At 44.6% G+C, this 19232-nt stretch overlaps 2 annotated features.

Moving 5' to 3' along the window:
• Window positions 799-1619: an enhancer, noted in NCBI's record as "NANOG hESC enhancer chr5:3251839-3252659 (GRCh37/hg19 assembly coordinates)". NCBI's record gives its function as "activates a minimal SCP1, AML or CMV promoter by ChIP-STARR-seq in naive H9 embryonic stem cells {active_cell/tissue: H9 hESC(naive)}" and the evidence as "EXISTENCE:reporter gene assay evidence [ECO:0000049][PMID:30033119]".
• Window positions 15902-16900: an enhancer, noted in NCBI's record as "H3K4me1 hESC enhancer chr5:3266942-3267940 (GRCh37/hg19 assembly coordinates)". NCBI's record gives its function as "activates a minimal SCP1, AML or CMV promoter by ChIP-STARR-seq in naive H9 embryonic stem cells {active_cell/tissue: H9 hESC(naive)}" and the evidence as "EXISTENCE:reporter gene assay evidence [ECO:0000049][PMID:30033119]".

The following is a 19232-nucleotide window of genomic DNA, read 5'->3' on the forward strand; positions in this document are numbered from 1 at the left end:
ATATATATTCTGAAAGATTTGGGGGCCCACAAGAAATTTCCTTGTGAGCAATTTGTGAGGACCACCTGGAGAGAGACGTGGCCTTCTATGTCACAGCTATCTGGGAACAAACAAGAAAGCAGTTTTATTATTATTATTCTTACTATTTTGGCATGACTCAGTTCCCAAGTTAAACTTTCCCTCTGGGATAGTGAATGTGGGGTCCCAATATTTTATTTTCCTTTCATACAATGATTAATTTTTAAAATAAAAAGCAACATTGCATTCATGAGATGAAGCCTATTTAGTTAAGATGCATCAACATTTTTATATATTTTTAGACTTTATATTATACAGTTGTGTTAAAAATCGTTGCCCCTGTTTTCTTGAAAGGCATTGACCCATAGTTGATTTTTTTCTTCCTAATATTTTTATCAAGATAATGTTGCCTTCATGCCGAATTAGTTTATGTAGAATAGGTATTAATTCTTCTTTTAATATTTTCTAAAATTCACTAGTAAAGCCATTTGGATCTGGAGGTGTCTTTGTGAGAAAATCTTTAAATACAGGTTCAATTTCTTTAAAAGATACAGGGCTTTTGATATTATCAATTTTGTTTCAGGTGAGCTTACTTATATTGTATTTTTCAGTGAATATGTCCATTTCACTAAGTCATGAAATTCATTTTTATGCAATCTTTTATAATATGCCATTACATCTTTTAACTGTTTGCTGCATGAGTAGAAATGTACCTGCTGTCATTTATGATAGTAGTAATTTGTACCTTTGCTCTGTTTTTCCTAATCAGCCTGGCTAGAGATTTATCAGTTTTATTGATCTTCTCAAGGAAACAGCCTTCGGTTTATTTGATTTTCTATATCAATTTCCTGTTTTCTATTTTGTTGATTTTTGTTCTTATGCTAAGTATCTCTTTTTATCTGCCTTTCTTTGGTGTTAGGGCTTTCCCCTTTGTTATGTATGAGCAGACCCAGATGCCAGCACCAGATGACACGGCCCCTCCCTCCATTCCCTGTGTCCCCTCTGGGAAGGACCGCACACCTTCCTGCAGGAGGTAAGTTTGGGCTGTTGCCTTCCTTGATGTGCTGCCTGCTTTGGCCCGGGGCTCTCCTCCCTGAGGTACCCCCAGAGCACTGTCCTGTGGCTGTTTACACAGTTGTCCCATGTGGGCTGGACTTCAGACACAAGCGAGGAAGTCCAGAACTGTGGCCCCTCAGGTATTCGGTTTGGAGAATTACTCCTGGATACAATGGCATAAATCCCCTACTGTGAAGACTTAGAGAGCCTGGAGGTGTGAAGAGTGTTAACTACTTTAACTCAGAGCAATTATTAAAGTAATTGTCTACCTTGAGTCACATGTGAGGTAAATCACTGGGCATGAGCAGCAGCCTCAACTGATATCCTTTTAACACAGACAGAACATGCTTGGGACTTACCAAGGAAGGAGAAGCAACTTTCCCACTGTTATCAGAGCAGGAGGCCTCACCTTTCTCTGGGAGGAGAGGTCCTCAGCCCCCATCACTGCCCTTTCTGGAGAACTGTGAGTTCTTCTCCTGATGGCAGTGAGACTCTGGGCTGATGTGCTGCCTGATCCAGGGACGACCCTCTCTTGGGCAGTGAAAGGCAACTTCAACAGAATCTGAAGTTCAGCCCAGACATCAGAATCCAGAGAGAAGCCAGTGGGGAGGAGGATGAGAACTTAAAAAAATGGGCAATAAAAATTTCAAAATGGAAATGACAAGATACTCGTTACAGTGGCACCAAAAATGCAATATTTAGAGATAAATATAACACAATATATGTAATATCTGTACACTGAAAACTGCAGAATGCTGTAGTGAGGAATTTAAAAAGAACTAAATAATGGAGCGCCACCCCATCAGAAGCCACCATCGTGAAGAACACAGGCAAATTCTACATGATATTCTATGATCAGAAGACGCCACTGTTAAGAACAGAGGTGAAATCTTACATACTGGAAAGAAAAGAGGAGAGAAAGATTAGAACTTTTATAAGCAGAACATTGATTCTTAGTGTGCTAGGTCAGGACACGGAAGAGAGGGGCCTGTTGGTACAAACTGAGGTCAGATGAGAGAAGTAATCTGGGGACATGAGGCACTATAGAATACCTGGGGTCTAATGATGGGGCTTGATAGGGTTTCCTAAACTGAGACAGGAGGGACAAGAGGCCATAGCAGGCAACCTAAAAAATGGTTTCTACCCTCAAACAATTATTTGGTAAAGATTCAAAGGCTTCCATATCACCATCTCCCCACCCTCTGTTTTGTCACAATCCCCACAGAGGCTAAGTCCTCTGTTCCTCCTCCACTTCTCTGCTCAGAAGACACACTGCTAGTATCCTTTCTATTAGGGCATTAGCAACAATAGAGTTTTGGGACTTGACAACTTCTTACAGGCAACTTGGCTTGGAGTCCACAGATAGGTTTCCATCTAGGAAAAACACGTGTGTTTGTCAGTACTGTTCATGGATGTGATTGGAAGGGGCTGGGAAATTTCTGTTTTACTCACCTTGACCATTTCCCAAATCCTGTTAAATAGAGAAATTGGTTGACTTGGGAGAGGCCACCTAAGTTGGAAATGATGGGTGGTTTATTCCTTCCATTCCATGGTGGCACAGTGGGAGAACCACTAGCATGGATTAGGGAGTTTGAACAGCTGTGGGTCACTAGAAAATTTATTGAAGTCTGTGTGTCACCTGCATTGGTGGAGATTCAACCAATGGACTCATATTCCCTTTCAAGGTCAAACACGATATGGTTTTAGAAGGATGTTCTTCAAGTTCAGGAAACTGAGGAAAACCACAGAAAGCCCATCTGACTCTCTAGCAGTTTATCCTCTGTGCATCGCACAGAGCCCAGCAGAGAGGATCTCTCTGTGGGATCATGCACAGAAGCCAATGAAGATGATAAAAGAGGCAAGCTAGGAAAACTACAAAGCAATAAAACACTTGGAACCCCAGGCTAGGAAAGCTACGCAGGAATAAAACACTCTGGAATCCACAAAACCCAATGAGCTTGTAGGTATCAGTAAGGACGTTTTAAACTCCCAAGATTATAAACCTTAATGGGTGATTAAAAATATATGATTTATTTCTAGCCAATGTCAAAATTAAATGAACAGCAATACCCACTCAGATGTGAAAGTCTCCAGTTTTCAGCTTTTACTTTTGAAACCATATTCAATGTTCAATGTCAGTTAGTTGCTTTGCTAAACAAGTGTATGATTCTTGAAGAACACAAATATTCCACTTAATTTGGAAGAAGAGAGTGTCTGGCTGGAGAGAGAGAGGATAGTGGCTAATTTTTCTCCAGATTCACAAGAAGGAGCAAAGCTTGCAAGAAGACTAATGCTTCACCAGGCCTTCAACTCCTTGACTGTTGATTCAAAGGAAATGTCAGTGTACAAGATACACTATATGTGCAATTAACTGCAGGATTTTTAATAAAAGGCAAAAAGACTGGTTACAACGCAGCCGGGCTTGCATTGCCTATGCATGGCCACTTGCTGCTTCAGCCTGCAGAGGCCTCCCAGTAACTAACTGGGTACATGCGTTGAGGTGGCGGCTTGGGGCTCTCTCTCCCATTGGGGGTGCTGGCTTTACAATCAGATGGGTCAGTGCTCAGGGCTGATGAATGCTTCTGCCCTTCCTTCCTGATTCACCTGCCATGGATAGCAGGACCTAAAACATCTGACAAATACCCGTGGTTGAATGGTTGAATTAAAAGTTAAGAATAAGGCAGGAAGTGGTTTGAGCAGAAACTATGATCTTCTTCACCCCAGATCCATGCATGCTCTGCAAAGTTTTCCATGGACACATGCATTAAAATAAAATATTCCTTTAGCCTCATTAATCTGGCTCTGGAGACAAAAATACTATAAGAGTGAGGTGCTCACACCTGTCTGCTCACCTCAGAAGCCCATTCTGGGGGATGATGCAGTGTGAATATTGGGTTTACACTTGAAATATTCCAAGAAGCAGCTGTGTGCCTGGTAGAGGATGAAAGGCATTTTATTTTTAGTTTTTGCTTGCTTGTTGTTGCCCTTAAAGAGTGCATCTGGACATATTTCCAGCAGGTGGAAGCAACAGGAGGAAATCATAGCACTGTGGCACGGTGGAAGCACCATTAGCCCGGATTCCAAAAGCCAGGGGAGACTCAGGGCACTGGAGAATTCACTGAAGTCTCTGCATCTCACCTGCAAAATATGGGGATTGGGCCAGACTAACTCAAAGGCCCCTTCAAGGTTAATCATGATATGAGTTTGGAGGGAAGTAAACGTAACAGAGGTTGGCAGGATGGAAGATTTTCCTGCACATTTCACCACCATTTAAGATTGGAGGGTGGCACAATTGATTTTTATGGCTGCAGCAACCCTCTTCTATCCTCATAGCAACCTTTTCTCGGGGGTGTGATGAAAGAACAACTTTGAGGAAATAAGGAGAAACTCCAGTGTGTCCGGGGGTTGGTACTGATGTTATAAGCACAGAATGGTGAGAATCGCGTGCTTCTTCAGCTGCACGAGTTAGTTCAGCTCAGGACTGGAAACAGTTATGATGCAGGAACCTGCAGAATCCTCCTGTCATCCAGGGGCTCTGTAAAGCGTTTGATTTAGTGTCCCTGTTTGCAGATGACATGATTGTATATCTAGAAAACCCCATTGTCTCAGCCCAAAATCTCCTTAAGCTGATAAGCAACTTAAGCAAAGTCTCAGGATACAAAATCAATGTACAAAAATCACAAGCATTCTTATACACCAATAACAGACAAACAGAGAGCCAAATCATGAGTGAACCCCCATTCACAATTGCTTCAAAGAGAATAAAATACCTAGGAATCCAACTTACAAGGGACATGAAGGACCTCTTCAAGGAGAACTACAAACCACTGCTCAATGAAATAAAAGAGGATACAAAGAAATGGAAGAACATTCCATGCTCATGGGTAGGAAGAATCAATATCGTGAAAATGGCCATACTGCCCAAGGTAATTTATAGATTCAATGCCATCCCCATCAAGCTACCAATGACATTCTTCACAGAATTGGAAAAAACTACTTTAAAGTTCATATGGAACCAAAAAAGAGCCCGCATCACCAAGTCAATCCTAAGCCAAAAGAACAAAGCTGGAGGCATCACGCTACCTGACTTCAAACTATACTAAAAGGCTACAGTAACCACAACAGCATGGTACTGGTACCAAAACAGAGATATAGATCAATGGAACAGAACAGAGCCCTCAGAAACAATGCCACATATCTACAACTATCTGATCTTTGACAAACCTGAGAAAAACAAGCAATGGGGAAAAGATTCCCTATTTAATAAATGGTGCTGGGAAAACTGGCTAGCCATACGTAGAAAGCTGAAACTGGATCCCTTCCTTACACCTTATACAAAAATTAATTCAAGGTGGATTAAAGACTTAAAAGCTATACCTAAAACCATAAAAACCCTAGAAGAAAACCTAGGCATTACCATTCAGGACATAGGCATGGGCAAGGACTTCATGTCTAAAATACCAAAAGCAATGGCAACAAAAGCCAAAATCGACAAATCGGATCTCATTAAACTAAAGAGCTTCTGCACAGCAAAAGAAACTACCATCAGAGTGAACAGGCAACCTACAAAATGGGAGAAAATTTTCGCAACCTACTCATCTGACAAAGGGCTAATATCCAGAATCTACAATGAACTCAAACAAATTTACAAGAAAAAACAAACAACCCCATCCAAAAGTGGGTGAAGGACATGAACAGACACTTCTCAAAAGAAGACATCTATGCAGCCAAAAAACACATGAAAAAATGCTCATCATCACTGGCCATCAGACAAATGCAAATCAAAACCACAATGAGATACCATCTCACACCAGTTAGAATGGCGATCAGTAAAAAGTCAGGAAACAACAGGTGCTGGAGAGGATGTGGAGAAACAGGAACACTTTTACACTGTTGGTGGGACTGTAAACTAGTTCAACCACTGTGGAAGTCAGTGTGGCGATTCCTCAGGGATCTAGAACTAGAAATACCATTTGACCCAGCCATCCCATTACTGGGTATATACCCAAAGGACTATAAATCATGCTGCTATAAAGACACATGCACACGTATGTTTATTGCGGCACTATTCACAATAGCAAAGACTTGGAACCAACCCAAATGTCCAACAATGATAGACTGGATTAAGAAAATGTGGCACATATACACCATGCAATACTATGCAGCCATAAAAAATGATGAGTTCATGTCCTTTGTAGGGACATGGATGAAATTGGAAATCATCATTCTCAGTAAACTATCGCAAGGACAAAAAACCAAACACCGCATGTTCTCACTCACAGGTGGGTGAGAACAATGAGAACACGTGGACACAGGAAGGGGAACATAACACTCTGGGGACTGTTGTGGGGTGGGGAGATGGGGGAGGGATAGCATTAGGAGATATATCTAACGCTAAATGACGAGTTAATGGGTGCAGCACACCAGTATGGCAAATGTATACATATGTAACTAACCTGCACATTGTGCACATGTACCCTAAAACTTAAAGTATAATAATAATAAAATAAAATAAAATAAAGTAAAAAGAACACTCTAAGCACTCACATTTTATTTCCTTGCTATCTATAAAATTGACTAAAGAGAAATCCAAGTTTTGCTGCTAACAGGTGCCCCAAAAACAACCTTGGAAGACAAACCAGGAAGCCCAGGTCTTCCTCTGGCTCTGCTCCCAGCTTGCTCTGCGACCCGGAAAATTCCTCTCACCTTCCCGGGCTTTAGTTTGTTTGTCCCTAAAATGGAGCCAGGTGGACAAATTCATCATCACCATTTCACTGGCCGGAGTTAAACAAACAAACATAGCTCTATGCGTTGGTGGTGTATGCATTCCTAATGCATCTTGAGGTACTCATATATGAAAAAACAAAACCATGTTTTGCTTGGTAAATAGGTTACCTATACTGGTCATTAAAACAAGGCACCCACTGCTGAAAAAGAGAGCCTTCTGTACTAGGACGAATTGCAATCTTTTGAGAATAAAGCAGAATGAGATGGCTTGGGCTCATCTAACTTGCATAGGTCCAGTCTTCGAGCATTCCTGTTTATTTTTGTGTTCAAAATTGTTTGTCAAAATAGCAGTGAGAAAACAAGGTGGGTTTGTCTCTGTGGTAGCAGCGCCCGGTGCCCCTGCTGCCCTTCTGTCCAGGCAGACGAAGGGAGAGCTGTCCTCTGAAGCCATGGCGGCCTTTCCCAGTAGCTGCTCTCCGGTCATCTGACACCCTGACAGAGCCACCAACAGCCGCACATCTGATCTGGAAGAATTGTGTCTCATCTGCTGAGTGGAGGCATTGTGACTGCTGAACTTGCATTGGAGGTGATTCAGCACATCGTGTCTTGAAATCAGATCCCAAGAGGGCCACCAAACACATGGGAACCTCTGTGTGGGAAAGAGTTTGACCAAATCTTAGCATTTCACGCAGCAGCCCACGTGACTGGTAATGCTGTTCTAACCCAGCTCGGTAATGCTCATGAAGACATTTATTAGAATAGAAAGACTGTAAAAAGGAAACTGGAAGTCTAATTAAAAGAGGAGAAGACAAATCTAGTCTATGATAGCTCATCAGGATGGTGACGGTCAACAATAATTTACTGCAGATGTTAAAAATAACTAAAAGAGTATTTAAGTGGAATGTTTGTAGCACAAAGAAATGACAAACGCTTGAGGTGATGGACAGCCTGTTTGCCTTTATGTGATTGTTACGCATTGTATACCTAGATCAAAATAGTTCACTGACCCCATACTACTATACACCTACCCTGCACTCCTAAAAATTAAAAAGAAAAAAGAAATACAAGCAAGCAAGTGTATCACTGATATGTTTTCAGGAAGGTTCAAAAAACAACTAGCCATAGACAACAGGCTAATAAACATGTCACAAAGCAGGAAAAAAGTGAGGTTCTGATGCAACTTCAGCAGTATGTTTTCGTGAAAATAAAATTTTTCATTTTTTTACATTAAAATGTTTATCTGTATATTATTTGCCAAGTAAATGCTACAGATTCCATAATAAAAATAAGAGGGTTTCTATGAACCACAATGAGATCCATGAATGGTCTTAAAATGTTTGATTTGTGCACTACTCTATGCAGATCAAATAATTAAGCATTTTATTCTGACTGACAAAGATGAGCATGGTAGAGAAACAATTGCGAAATGCATATCTGTGTAAATCAAATTGTGCATTAAATCACAGAGGAATAAAAAGGAATAGGTAAATCTAAGCAGACTGATTAACTAAATCTAAGCAGACTGATTAAATAGTTATTTTAAATTTTTCCATTTAGGTTTTTGAGTGATAAAAATCAAAGACTCTCTCACATCATAAAACTGGTAATGTTTACTACACATGACTAAATAAAAATTGCATTTGGTAAGATAATATTTGCCGTGTTCATAGCACTTACACCGGCAAGGTATGTGGAAGCAGACAGCACGTTATTCTGTTTCCATGTAAGATTTTTACATATGTTGTTATACATGATATTCTCAAAAGCCTAAGAATCTAACCATAACAGGTGCTTGCTCCGAGCGCAGTGCCCCACTGCCATGAGTTCTCAGTTATAAATAACAAATCACTGGGTTCCCATGGACTTTCCTTTAAACACATCTACTGTTCTCAATCAATATAATTAATAGCAAGGAGCGCATATTTATATTGAAGATGGCGAAAGTCAATTTGTTGTGGAAATTCAAGGGGTCCCTTGGATATCAGTCCTCCATTTAGTGCGTGTTATCACCCTCAATCATATTAAGAAGTGGTTTTCAATGCATTTCTCAAAATTCCTCTTCTGATTTCTCATGTCAAGGGAGAGTCTAATTGGATTTTTAATCCTTGGCTAATCATGCTACACATGGCATGCTGGGTTTAGGTGGAAACTGAAAGGTGCTTTCCACCAACCTATTATTGCAAGGCAGGCTTGAATGTAACCCGAATCAGTAGAAAAATAATGCAGTAAGCCCTTCTACTGTATAGACATTACATGAAAACAATACGCTCCTTTCTTCACGAGGAAGCCCCTCCCCTGCCTTTGAAGCAGCTTTGAAATAATGGACTGCCATGGGCTATTTTCTTCTGGTTTCTATGTTTCAATACCAGGCTTGTCTCTTCTGTTTGTTTTCAGCTAATTGCCTCAAGATCTAATAAGTTAGTGATGACGGGTGTTGAGCACCAGTGACCCTGCCAAAAGAAATATCATGTCGCACCAAAGTTGAAGGAGCAGTCCTGGTGGGTCAAAAATGCTTTCTCTGAGGGGCTCTAATTCCTCTAGTGGGGTCAGGAATGGCACCAGTGATTGGATTGGGTTCCTTAAGAGTCTGCACAAGGGAGCTGCTCTAAGAGAGGGACCAATAGACACACTCGTCATTGGATGCTTGGGTTCTTGACCTTGTTGAAAAGACATTACCGTGGCACAGTCCTGTCTTCCTGCAAAGCACTCACGCCACCCTTTCTTTGAGAGCCATTACAGGAAAATTCAACTTTGATGAGAAGTTTAATCTGGTTGTTTCATTCTTCCCACGGAACATGCTTTCCTGAAGTTTTATCCAATGTACTTCCCTCCTCAGGGCAACGAAGTCTCATAAAGGAAATGGATGGTGTTGGTTGCAGGGAGCATCTCATTCCAGGAAGCTAAAACACACACTGGCCAACATTTGATCAATGAACAACATCTTCCATTAAAAGAAAAAATCAAGGTGTCTTAACAAAATGATGAGAGATTATACGCATGAACAAATCCAGAGGCAGAAGCCTGTGGTGTTGTAAACTGAAATCCCAGCTCAAAGTGAGGTCGGGGCAGTCTGGTTAATGCCAAAGCATTAGTACAACAGCGTCCCTTTCCCATTCTGAGAAATGCACATGGCATCCATTTCTTAGGGCTGCCATGACAAATTGCCACACAGTTGGTGGCTTAAAATTACAGAACTTTATTATCTCACAGTGCTGGAGGCCAGAAGTCTGGAATCAAGGTGCTGGAGTGTGGTGCTTGCTCTGAAGGCTCCAGGGAAGAGTCTGCTTCTTGTGTTTCTCCTCACTTCTAGGACTGTGGGTGCTCCTCGGCTTGTGTCTGCATCTCTCCAATCCTGTCTTTTCTTCACCTGGCCACACTCCCTCTGTGTGTCTCTTCTTTGTGTGTCTCTTCTGTGTGTTCTCCTTTGTGTGTCTTTGTGTCCACATTTCATCATTTTATAGGGACACCAGTCACTGGATTAAGGTCCACCCTAACCCCGTGTGATGCCACCTTGCCTTGATTATAGACACAAAGGCCCTATTTCCAGATAATGGCACATTGGCAGGTGCAAGGGCTGGGCCTCCAACATATCTTTCTGGGGGACACAGTTCCACCCACCACGCACACTGTGAAGGAAAGTTGCGCATTTATCTCACAGGTAATCTCCCCAAGCCCACTCTGGTCATCTGTGTGAAGGGGCTTTGGCGTTTCCATCATCAGCTTCTCTCCCCTCCTATTCTGTGCTTCTGATCTCCCAGTTATCACCCTGGGGCTCCCTGTGCCCTCAGTTGGCGTCCAGGATCTGGAAGAGCTCCAGCCTGGCAGGTTGACTCTTCCTGCAAGGATGTCTGATTACAGGTTCTCATGGGCGTGCAGAGCTTGCAACCTGAGTCTCAGCACCAGTCTTGTGTTTGGAGGTCTTCCAAAGCCCACGATTCTAATCCTTTCTTACAACACTGCAAAGCATGAGTGTTTTCTCAGGAGGTAATATTGAGAGCAGGGAGGAGGTATGGTGAGAAGACAGTGCTAAATTGCACAATACTAGGTGAGACTTCTGCCACCTGGCTGTACTCACCACACCTCTCATGCAAACACCCCAACCTCCAACCACATGTCCTTTGCCCCCTCATCCACTTCCCAGAGGGTCTCCTTCCTCTGGTTGCCCCCACTGGGTCTCTACTTGTCTATGCTCACCATCATCTCTTTGCATGCCACAGTCAACCATGGGACCACTGAGAAGCTCACTGAAGGGCAGGTGATATGGCTTGGCTCTGTGTCCCCACCCAAATCAATCTCATCTCAAATTGAAATCCCCATGTGTCAAGGGAGGGAGGTGGTTTGACCATGGGGGCGGTTTCTCCCATGCTGTTCTCATGGCAGTGAGTGAGTTCTCCCAAGATCTGATAGTTTTATAAGGGGCTCTTTCTCCTTCACTCCACCCTTCTCCCTCCTGTTGCCCTGTGAAGATGTGCTTACTTCCCCTTCACCTTCTGCCATGATTGGAAGCTTCCTGAGGCCTCCTGGCCATGCTTCTTGTACAGCATGCGGAACTGTGAGCCAATTAAACCTCTTTTCTTTATAAATTACCTAGTCTCAGATAGTATTCTTTATAGCAGTGTGAGAACAGACTAATAAAGCGGGAGAGGATGAAGCTATTGGTACTTGCACTTTTATATTTTTGTTCCTGTTACTGTTTTTTAATATGCAAAAACAAATTTATTTTTTGTTTATGAGCCACATGCTAAAACTGTTTTAAATATGCAGTTGTGTAAGTGCATGAAGAAAAGTGGTCAGGAAAGGGCCATGCTGGCCAGTGAGGCCCCAAGCTTCTGAGAGGGGAGGGGGGCTATGGAGGAGAAGCACAGGAGGGGAGCAAGTGGGCAGTGGGAGGAAACCGGGCTGGGATGGTCTGGAGCCCGGAGGCCAGGGACAAAGGAGGGCCACCAAAGACAAGATTCAGGGACAGTCAGAGGAGCTGTGGGCCGGAGACCTTGAGCAGGACTGAAGCATGTGACATACAATAGTCATCAACTGTCGTGACATATCTACCAGACAAGCAGTACCACCCTTTCACTGATGGAAAGAATGTGACACAGAGGTAAAATTCCTCACCCCAAATCTCTTCATGGATTGACGGTAGCACCAGGATTGGCCAAGTCAACCCGGGGCCAAACCCATGTTTACTAATTAAATGCAGAAACAACTGTTTTGAGCTATAAGTTACAGAGATTGTAAGACCCAATGAGAAAATATGTTGTGCTTTGTTCAAAGATTAGATGCAATGTAACTAAAAGCCTTCTGTGTGGACTTGGGAGGAGGGTGGGTGCCTGTGAGGGACCTTGGGATTGTCTGGGGTTGGGAGAGGCCAGGAAGGGGCCAGGACCCGAACCTCTGCAGACCTGACCCGCCTCCCTGGGACATGTGCACGACTCCCAGTCTTTTATTAGAAACCCGTTTTTCGCTGAAACCAATTGTTCCTGCTGGATTGAATTTTACGAGGATTAAAAAGTACATATAGGCCAGGCGCAATGGCTCACGCTTGTAATCTCAACACTTTGGGAGGCCTAGGTGGGAGGATCACTTGAGCCCAGGGGTTTGAGACCAGCCTGGGCAACACAGTGAGACCCCGTGTCTGAAAAAAAAAAAATTAACTGGGTGTGGTGGCACATGCCTGCAGTCCCAGTTATTTGGGGCTGAGGTGGGAGGATCACCTGGGTCTAGGGAGGTCGAGGCTTCAGTGAGCAGTGATCACACCGCCGCACTTCAGCCTGAGCTGCAGAGTGAGACCTTGTCTCAAAAAAACAAAACAAATTTCCAACATATAATTGGAGAAGGAAAATTAAGAAAAAACTGAGATCCAGGAAACCCAGAGTCAATGGGCAGAAATCCCTCCACCTTCCTGGGATCTCCCTGGTGGTGCCACCACACCCGCCTGTGGCATGAATCAGGCTCTGCCGTCCACAGGGACACTTCTGTGTCCATAGAAGCAGGGGAGGGAGAAGCCCACTCTTTCTTTCTTATTTGTGCAATAATTCAATCTTCTATCCACTTCATTTATCTCTCCAATTTGACTAGGGATTAGTTTTTATTTTATTACTATTTTTTCTTAATATTTTTTGCATATACTTGGATTTAGAAACCTACATTTAATCTGAGATATTTACCAAACTAAATATAAAATCTTCACATATAATAATATATTTAACTGGAAAGGTTTAGACTTGATTCACTCTCAGGAAAAAAGAAATCATTTTCTTAATAAGAAATATTATTTGGCTTGTTTTGAAAATAATTCTCCAAGTTAGAATTTATTTTGAATCATTTCCTGACACTGACATAGGTATCCTGCCGTGCTTCACAGATTTTGGTGATATCACACACCCTCTCAGTAGAAATCACAAATATACACTGAATGCATATGAGCTTTGAAAGTTGTGTTTTAAAGAGACTTAACCCCTTTTCTGATTGAGATCATGTTTGCTGTTCCCTTTGTTTAAAATATGTCTACGAATTCTTCTTCTCCTGCAAAAATAAATGATAAATTATTTATACATACCAATTATTTATTATTATTTATGCAAAGCTTGTCAGATTATGCATGCATGGGGGGATTGAATTGCTGTTGGCCCACAATGCCTTTAGGGGCATGATATGATGGGCAAAGGGTAGCAGGTGGGATTGCCATATGCATTCAGAGCCTACGCATTGTTTACATACATTGCTGGGCTGATAACAGGAAGAAAACCAGCACATCACAACCAGTATTGCTTATTCATCTAATTCTAAATTTTGTTACCTTGGCATTAAATAAATATCTCACCCAAGGAAAGAAGCATGAAAGTATGGCGGGCATTGTAAGGTAGACATAAAAATGCCCATGGGTTTAAGCTTAAAACTAAAAGAAACAGATGAGCTCAACTTAAAAAAATGATACTTTTCCTAGGGCAATTCTTTGACACATAATAACAACATATTACAATCAAGAAATAGAGATAAATCAGGAAAATACCATGATATGATGACTTGTCATGGTGCTTTCTGATAGCATTTTGAATTTCAAGGCAAATTCAGTGAAGGTTTTTTTTTTTCCAAAATACTAATGCATATAAATGAAATTATTAGCAGCATTCATTTTTAATGGGAAAGCTAATGGAGAGCTTGCAAAATGACATAACTATCCTTTGATCCTGTGAAGGAATGTTTTCCAGTTCCTAGGGCAAAAATTATATCCAATATGACAATGCTAAAAAGCCACCTATATTTGCAATTGACAGTTTCAAGATGTGGAGTATGTTTGGCCTCTGTGGGAAGTGTGTCAATGCATTTGCTGTGTAAGTTGGTGCAAGCGGGGTTTGCAGACAGGCTCTGGAAGGGCTGGCCCTAGAGCAGAAGCAGGCACGGAGAAGCTGAAAGTCCACGAGTCCACCTGATTATTTACAAACTTAATTTGCCTGTGGCATCCCAGAGAGTTGAGTGATTTGAAATCTTGTTTTCTTAACCAAAATTGCCCCATCACTTCTGTAATTTTGTGATGTTTATTGCTCATTCTGGTCACATTTCGGGTCATGTTTGTTCATCTTGTCCACATTGGCATTACTCAATTCTTCTTTGATGTTATGCAATATTCATAACCTTGAAAAATGTATCATGGTAACTCTAGGAATGGGTGAAACAAATGGCCCTTCCCTTTACAGCCCCAGCCCACCTCTGTTTTCCAGCCTCAGAAGCAATGACCTTGCCAAGATCCATGTGAAGTCTACCACTCAGGTCCTGCTTACAGGTCTCCTAAGACAAATCAAGTCAGATTCCTCTCACTTTTAAGCCTTCCAGTGAAATAAAATATGCATCTTCTTTGTAGCTATGCCTGGCAATTAGTACCCTCCAGAAGCTCTCTCTCTGATTTGTAGTAACACTTCCTCTTTGTTTTCAATCCGAGCTCTGCTGTGCTCTGTTTCTTTTGGTTCTGTCCTCAGACAATAGCTTTTCAGACATAGCACACTCTTTGTATTTGCAACAGATAGATTCTAAAACCTTTGTGAATTCCCAGATTCGCAAATATCAGTATGTAATATAATTCCCTTCGTAAGAGGCAGTTAAGTATAGTTGAAAAATGCAAATGACATGTTAAGACCATCAAGGAAGCAACAGAATACCAAAGGTATATACCAACTAATTAGCATAAGTTCTCCCCTGCAAAGTACATCACAGCAGAACATTACTGGACCAGTTTTAACCACGTGTGTCTCTACATTGGTAAAACTGGGGCAGAGGTGGGGCTCCATCCCTTCCTATAGGCATCTTGCAAGGGTGAAGGAGTGAGGAAACCTACTGTCCTACAGTAAGACATTAGGCTTCGGTGCCTCTGACAGAGCTGGCTCAGCCGTCTTCCACCCTGGCAAGGTAGCGGAATCCTAAGGGAGATTTGAAACACGCCAAGGCCCAGGACTCAGCCTCAGTGGCACTGACATAATTTGCCTGATGTACCACCCGGGGATTGGAAATGTTTTTGAACACTTAGGCTAGCCTAATGTACAGCCAGAGATGACCACTGGACTTATGGAAGACAGCCCTTCTGAGTGCTTGGTTGGCTTTTCTTTTCAAATTTGAATAGGTTTCTTGATAGATTTGTGTCTTGACTAATTGTCAGTCTCTATTGCATCAAGGTATTACAGGTGATGGAGATGGGGATGGCATTGCTGGTAGCAAATCCATGAGCATGCTCAGTGCCTTCTCCAGTAGGGAGGAAGGAGCCCCATTCAGGGACAAAGTGTACCTGGGCTGGGACCAGACCCCAGGATTAAGGTTCCCACTCTTCTGCGTGTTGGTTGGATGATCTTTGGCCTGCTACATAGCAAATCTGGGCCTCAGTTTCTCATTGATAAAATGAAGATATCGACAGTGCTGATTTTGGAGGGCTGAAAAGACTCTCTTAATAGCATGGACTATGTTGCCCTGTCCCTGCCTCATGGCTAACTCTGCAAACGTCCCTGCCTCCTGCGTGGCCTGTTAACCCCCATCTCTTGAAACTTCAGTGCTCTAGTTCTTAAGATCAAATGCACCATCAGCTTAAAGAAAATGCCCCGTGGCTGTCCAGCCAACAGCAGTGCTGGAGACACACGCTCTGGGCACACACAGCAGAAGGTGCAGGAGCCAGTGGACAAGAGCAGAGCTCTGTGTGTCACGCCTTCCGGTGTGGCTGTGTCAACAGCTGGGATTGTTTGCCTCAAAATGCTCAGTACAAATAATAAAGCCAACCCCCCACCTGTCCCTGGTGTCTGCAGGCGAGAGGACCCCAAAGGGAATGACAACCATAATGCCACCCTGAGCTGAGCCCAAGAACAAGCAGTGAAGTGCATGTCCACTCATCTGAGTGCCATCAGACGCAGTCTCCCTGAAAGGGAGGGTGGGCTGCCGGGGGATTCTCCTGGGTCTCCCTGGTCCTTCCTGGGAGGCCCACACCTGTGTAGATGGCTGTGAGTGGAGGAAAGGGAGGGGCTGGTCCATCCCCCAGTGCAGCAACAATCCCCAAAGGACACATGGACCTCCGCTGTGCTCCCAGGAAGCAGAGCTTCCACACCCTGGTGGCCATGGGGACTTGACCCTGATGACCGAGGTAAGGGAAGTTCAACTGGGTTGCTCGGCTTGAGGTTCTCGTCCTGCCCTGCTCTGCTGCCTCGCTGGGCCCGTGGGAAGCCCATCTCATCCAGGGGCTCTCTGTTCAAGGAGGGGTCCCACAGCACCTGGGCGGGGCCTCTGGGAAAGGCGCTATTTCATTCTTATCACCCAGGCTCTCACCCCGGGGCTCCTCCAGTCAAAATGGTTTGCCTCTGACTCTCCTATAGTACACGGCATTTATTTATTTATTTAAAGAGATGAGGACTCACTCTGTTGCCCTGGCTGGAGTGCAGTGGCACGATCTCAACTCCCCGCAGCCTCAAGCTCCAGGCCTCAGGTGATCATCCTGCCTCGGCCTCCTAAGTAGCTGGGACTGCAGGTGTGTGCCACCACACCCTGCTAATCTATATATAATATATATATGTAATATAAAAATATGGTATATAATGTGTGTGTGTATATATACATACACACATATATATATATATATTTGTAGAGAAGGGGTTTCACCATTTTTCTCAGGCTGCTCTCAAACTTCTGCACTCAAGCCATCTGTGCGCCTCTAACAGAAGCAATGCAACGGCCCCACTGCCCTCCAGAGCCTCCTCCCACACCGCACCCCACAGCCCTGGCCTCAGCCATCTGATGCCTCTGTGTCTGCCGCTCAGTGCCAAATAAGGCTGAGTTCTTTCCCGTGGACTCTAAGATGGTGGGAAAATGAGAAGACAGCTTTCTTGATGTTCAAGCTCACCCATCCAGAGCCGCCTCTGGATGTGGCAGGACTCCCAGGAGACCACCTTCCTCTGCCTTCATGATCTGGGGGGCAGGTGCCAGGCAACTGGGGACAGCCTAGTGGCTTAGAGCTGCCTTGCTCTGCCTGCCTTTCCCCCAGGAGCCCCAACAGCGCCGATGTCTGAAGCCTTCCCCTCTCTCCAGCCCTGCCTCCTGACCCCTTGGTTCTCTCCCATAGGGCCCGTGTGGAGCACTCGGCCTCCGGCCTCTAGGACCTGTGAGCATGGCAAACTGTGTTTTCCTGAGCCTTTTCTGTGTCTACTGTGTGGCTGCACCTGACTGACCATTTCATGTGAGAATTCATAACACGTGCACACACACATATGCACACACATGCACACACATGGCCACACACACAGGGTACTTGGGCCACATTGGCCACCTCCAGGTGACTTTAGGGCTCCAGGCCATGAATCTTAGAAGCCCTTTTCACCTCTGGTGGCCACCCTGCCTGTCGTGGGATCCAGTGTGGAGCCTGCCGTCTGCTTTTGCTCTCAAACCATCTAGGGTGCGGAGGAGGCTCTGTCTTCTGCTGTCTCAGCAGCAAACACCAACAGCTGAGTGTGCAAGGCCACATCCCCACCTTCCCCCTTAGAGGAGCTCCTTGAGGGGTGTGGAAAGACCCACATTCCAGCTCCGTACCCCAGACCTGCCAGAGAGGGCTCCAGAAGTGGACCCCAGCACCCATGCATTTCAGAAGTTAGTAAGGAGGGGTGGTTTCCAGGGAGAAGCTGGGTCATGGAAGGTGAAGACAGGAAGGCACCCTTTCAGGGGCGCATCCACCACGCTCTGACAACATCTGGCCTGGGCACTCTCCCCAGGAGACACACGTGAGGCCAACACAGCCCACTTAGCTCACACTTGAGTTCACACAATGCTGCCCGTCTGCATCTGTACATGTGGTATGAAGGCAGCTGGAGACACCCTCTGTGCTTTAAGAAACCCATTTCCCTACAGGTGGAACAGATGCAGAGTCCCAACCAGGGGCAGCCCCAGACCCACAGGGTCCTGAGAATGTCCCCAGCAGCTTGAGCTTTCCAAGGCTGTGCAGTGGACTGCAGGGGACTGCAGGGGACTCGAGGGAAGAAACCCACAGGAGGCCCTCATGCTCAAGGTTAGTGAAGAGAGGCAAGAGGGGAGTCACGTCCCCTTACGCCCCCTCAGCGTCTCTGTTGACTTCTGTGTCCAGGGTGGGATCGTGCGTGTGTGTGTGTGGGGGGGGGGGTGCAGAACATAGAACTGTTGCAAAATACAAACAGGTTGTCATCTGCAAAGCACAATTCCCCATGCATCCTGTGCACAGACGCTGATACGTGTCCGCAGTATCTCCTAGTCATTTAAAAGGGTAATTAGTACGCGGCATCTTCCTAGGGTCCTCGGAGGGTGAGTGTCCATCCTGTTTCTCACTGCTTCTCTCCTAATCCCCTCTAATGAGGGTTTATGTTAACACGGATAAGCCCTCGCGGTGTGCACTACCAGGCTGGCTGGGCCCACGGAGGACGGGCTGCTCAAATGTCACCGCCTTTGGCAATGTGGCTGTGAGACGTCAGAAGGGCGTCGCAGGAGAGCTTCTGTGTGGATCGCTCCATTTTGTAGAAGGGAAATCCCTTTCATAGGGTGCCTCTGCTTCTTTTCTGTTCTTTCCAGGATTTTGTCTCCATTTAATTTCTGCAGCTAGCAGCTGGTTCGCGGCGTTTTATTCTGGAGGAGGAGGCCCTGGCGTTGCTGTTTCAGGACGCACTGAGCCGGCCACCTCCTCCCCATGAAGATGCAGTCACTGCCCAGCTGAGCCTGCCTGAGCTTTGTTGTTCTCTAGGACCTGAAACTTCTGCAGAAGGCCAGTGAAGACTCGGGATTATCTGGAGTTGGTGGCAGGACTCAGACGTCATTGACCTTCAGAGCTGGTGCTAGGCCTTTCTTTCCCTCTGCAGTACTTAGTGAGACCTTCAGGGAGGGCACTGTGTGGGGAAGGCAGCTTCGCACCCATCAGCCGGGCCATCCGCTTCCCGCAGGTGTGTGCTTGC

Source organism: Homo sapiens, chromosome 5 (assembly GCF_000001405.40).
Source record: "Homo sapiens chromosome 5, GRCh38.p14 Primary Assembly".
NCBI lineage: Eukaryota > Metazoa > Chordata > Mammalia > Primates > Hominidae > Homo > Homo sapiens.